The sequence below is a fragment of the Homo sapiens genome, chromosome X (genome assembly GCF_000001405.40).
Source record: "Homo sapiens chromosome X, GRCh38.p14 Primary Assembly".
Lineage (NCBI taxonomy): Eukaryota > Metazoa > Chordata > Mammalia > Primates > Hominidae > Homo > Homo sapiens.
Window position 1 is genome coordinate 151,822,992 of NC_000023.11, and position 4,429 is coordinate 151,827,420.

At 44.7% G+C, this 4,429-nt stretch overlaps 1 annotated feature.

Moving 5' to 3' along the window:
* Positions 2,154–2,700: an enhancer, noted in NCBI's record as "NANOG hESC enhancer chrX:150993617-150994163 (GRCh37/hg19 assembly coordinates)". NCBI's record gives its function as "activates a minimal SCP1, AML or CMV promoter by ChIP-STARR-seq in naive H9 embryonic stem cells {active_cell/tissue: H9 hESC(naive)}" and the evidence as "EXISTENCE:reporter gene assay evidence [ECO:0000049][PMID:30033119]".

Sequence of the window (4,429 nt, forward strand, 5' to 3'; positions counted from 1 at the left end):
GTGCCACTAAAACAGATGGTGAGAAGGGATTAAAGCTAAGAGACTGGGGAGAGGTAGAATGTCCTACTCTTAGGGACTGATTGGATAGGTGTGGTAAAGGAGAGAGAGGTGTCAAAGGTGATTCTCAGGTTTGTTGCTTAGGGAGCATAGTGGACGGGGGCCACTGGGGGTCAAAAAGCCCTGGGAAGAAGATCGAGAGTTCAGTTTTGGACATTGAGGCATTTTCTGGTACATTTAAGAGAAAATAGCTAGTAGACAATTGGTTATATAGGTCTGAAGCTCAGAGCTGATGTTTTAACCAGAGATAGAGGTTGAAGTACAGTAGAGAAGGAGGGGCCAACTGAGGAGGCTGATAATAAATACACAGAGAGATATAAAAGAAACCAGACAAGCTTGTGGATTCCTCTTCCCAATGTTCCTAAAAGGTCAAGCAAGATGACAGAGAAGTGACCAACGGATTTAGTAATGTGGAGGTCACTGGTAATGTTCAAGTTCAGTGGAGTGAGTAGTGGAGCCAGTAGTCAGATTGGACTAGATGAGACTATATTGCAATAATCAGGGGTGGAGATAGTGGTGGCTTGGAACGCAGTGGTGGCAGTAGAGGTGGTGGGTAGTGGTTGAATGCTACATATTGAAGATATTGCTCACAGCATTTGTCAATTTGTAGGCTATTGGAAGTGATTGATCGAAAGAGAGGAATCAAGTTTGACTCATAATTTTGAGGGAAGCCAAAGCAAATGAGTAAATGGTGGTGCCCTTTGGGGAGAAACTGAGGGAGGAGCAAACTTAGTGATGGCAGAAGGTGGCTAATCAAGAATTGTGTTTGTTATATGTGAAGTCTGAGATATCTATCACACACGTGGAGATGACAAGTAGGTATTTTGATACATGAGTCCAATATTTAGGGGAGAGATCATGATGGAGAGATAAATCTGGAAGTTATCATTGCCCAAACAATATTGCAAATCAAGTGATCTCCTAGGGAGGGAGTATAGATGACATGGAGAAGGTCAAGGATGGAGCCCTAGGGCACTTTGACATTCGGACAGACATCAAGAAGAAGAAGAAGCTCCAGTAAAAGAGAAGAAGCTACAAATCGGTTGAAAACTGGGTGAGAGTAATTCTAGGTCTTGCCCAGAGAAGAGAATATTTTAAGAATAAAGGAGTGATTACCATGTCAAATGCTGCTGGAAGGTCTAGAGTGATGAGGACAGAAGTGATCATAAGCTTCAGGAAGATGTGGGCTTTTGCCGATTGAACCCATTTATGCCTAGTTAAGAACCATTTCAGTGAAATAGTGGATCAGAAGCTGACAAGAATAGGGAAACAACTTGAAATACAGAAGAGGAGCCAGAAAGGAACACAACTCTTTGTAGGTGTTTGGCTCACTTTGGGGTTAAGAAAATTGGTAGCTGGAGGAGACAGGATCAAGGTTTGGATCTTTTGAAGATGGTAGATAGAAGCCATGTTTGCATGTGGATGGAGATGATCTAGTAGAGAGGGAAAGTGGCATGATGCAGATAGAGGAGAAAACCACTATAGTGATGTCCTTGAGTAGGTAAAAAAGCATAGGATCAAGGGCACAATTGGAGCGGCTGCTCTAAGATCAGAGAAGGGACAGTTCATCCAGAGTGACGGGGGAAGGCAGAGTCTATGACAATGAATGTAGGTAGGTTGATGGATGTGCATGCAAAGGAAGAGGAGCAGGACTCAGGAAAAGATTCAGAGTTCAGAGGTGGGGCACACAGGAGTCTCTAGTAGATACCTGGAGGACAGGAAATAAGATAAAGGTCAAGGCTACAGACCAACTTGAAGGTCACTGGAGAAACTTCTGTTCACAGAAGGAAAGAGAATGATGCAAAGTTGCGTAGATCTTAAGTGGCAGCACTGGGAGGGGAACTTAGGTCTGTCTGATTCCAGGGCCTGTGCTCTTTCTTTTCCAACCTCTACCTCTGGATGGAGGTAGGTTTATGAATTGCAGTGCCCAGCAAGACATTCTTCCTGCATCATGTTTATAGCTGCTGGTCATTTGACCTTAGTGTAAAGCTGAAATGTGTGTGGTCAGAGGCAGGAGGCTGGCTAGGTGACCTCTGGCCTTTCCCCTGCCTTACCTCCCTAGCCTGAAAGATCAGAGCTTGATGCATATTTTGCCCTCATAAATTGTTCATAAACTCTGATGGCAAGCTTCAGATTTGTCACTCCCTAATGTAGCAGTGGCTACAGCCAGCTGACATCAAGCTCTGGGGAGCGATGCAGTAAATCATTTTCCCTTTTGTGCAAGAAGAAAAAGTAGAAAATTACATTCTTCTCAGATTTCGCTTTTGAGTGTGCTGGTGCCTCTGTCAAGTGCTCCTTCTTGCAAACAAGAAAACGGTATGACCCCCAGGGAGCAGGCTTTTCAATAGGAGCTATCTGTGTAATCCCCACACAAAGAGGGAGAATGGTGAGCAGCAATCAGAACCTGTTGTCCCATCAGATCACAAGCTAGAGGTTAAGTTCTCTATTCTGCAAGTTGGGGACTGAGATTCAGGAAGGTTGGGAATTCACTCAAGTCATCCCATTCACCTGGAAAGAGGAAGAGCTGGGCCTGAAATCTGAGCTGGAGTTCAGAGTCCTGCACTGGCCCAGTGGTCCATTTGGTCCTGGGTGCAAGTAAGGACTGAGGGCCATCAACCTATGTAGGGCTAAAACCCACCTAAGTAATGAAAGTGCAAAACAATGGTGCTGCTGAAAATGATGATGATTATAATCTTTTCATTAACTCCTTGGGAAATCAGAGAAGGAAATTATACACGCAGAAAAGCCTCAGCTGCACTCACACTTTATGCCCTGTGGTCATAGCCAAATCCAGCACCTGGGACCCTCCTGAGGGCCCCAGCATGCCCCAAAGGGGATCCCTGGCTGCTTCTGGCATCCGTACAGACATTTCTGGCTGCCCCTCCTCAAGGCTGCATTATTTATTCTTGTGTTTGTTATGACAAATACAGCAGCATGGAGGAGCTGTTGGCTAATTTGAATAGTGCTTCCAGAAGCATCTTCCAAGCCAATTGGTTCATCTCTGGTCAAATAGACATGAGTTGCCAAGGGCAAAGAGCAAGAAATTAGCCAGTGACTCAGCACTGAGCTACTCAGGGGTCCCACTAGGGCATGTCCCTTCTCTGGGCCTTGGCATCTCCAACAGAGACAAAGGAGCTGGGCTACAGGGCCTCTAAGGCCTCTTTCAAATTTAATTCTCTAAGATTCATTCTCTCTCTCTCTCTCTCTCTCTCTCTTTTCCGCTTGCTCTCCCTGGCTCGCTCACTCTCACGCTCGATCTCATTTTATGTCATTTGCTTTGTCTGCCAAACTCCCTGGGGCTTACTGTAAAAGCATAACTGATTTTGTAATGAACATTCCATGCTATATCCAACCAGATGTGTGTGCTTGCTTCACAGGGCTCCACTAGGGTGGGGCTGGCTTACTCCAACAAGGCAGAATTGTGACCTTTGTCTGAATTCCTTTTCAGTCGTGGCCTCTGGAACCAGTTGACAAAGATAGGAGCAACCCCCTTCCATATCCAAGGATGGTCCTGTGAGCATGAGGACCTGTATAGGAGCTGGAAGATTGTTGGATTTGGACCTGGACTTGGGATTGAACTTCCCCCTACCTGGTCTCCAGAACCGGGGCAGATAACTCAGCAGGCCCACCTTCTCATGAATGCTCGAGAGAAGGAAGAACAGAGTTATTTTGTGAGCTGGCCATCAAGAGTCAGATAACACTTTCAAGACACATGATGAGTAGGAAACCTGGGACTAGCTCTCTAATCATCTTGTCCCAAGACCAATGAATTCCCATTGCCCATCAAACAGGACCCCTGTGATCTTGGGAGGAAAAAAATGAATTTCTATTTTCATCAACTTCTAATTGAAATTTCTAATTTCATTCAATTTTGAATGTAGGCAATGAACCACAGTAGCATTAGTAGTACGTGAGGCTTTGCCACTGAGAGAAATCAGAGGGATTTTCATATCACATTATTATTGTAGCTATCTCCAGACAGCCCTTATAGTGGACAGTAGTTTGAAATTATAGTAGTAGTTACAGTCACCACTAGATTTGATTTCATGCATTAATACAAAAAATTTATATTAGCATCTCATACAAGTTTTGTTTGATATTTGGATATAATTTGTTTCCTTTATAACCTTGTGTATTTTTATGCATTTCAAGTATTATTGTCAGAAGGAATCTGTGGGCTTCATCTTTCAGCTAAGGGTCTGTGGCACAGCAAAAGGGTAAGAATACAGCGGCCCGTGAAGCACAGGGCTTAGAGCCTGCTGCAGTGGACCCTGCTTCAGGTGCCTACCGTGTCTCTATGTCGGATGACAGTCTGGAAGTCACCATTCATTGTCAACAATCAAGGCAGCTCACTGTTCCCACAAGGGCTGCT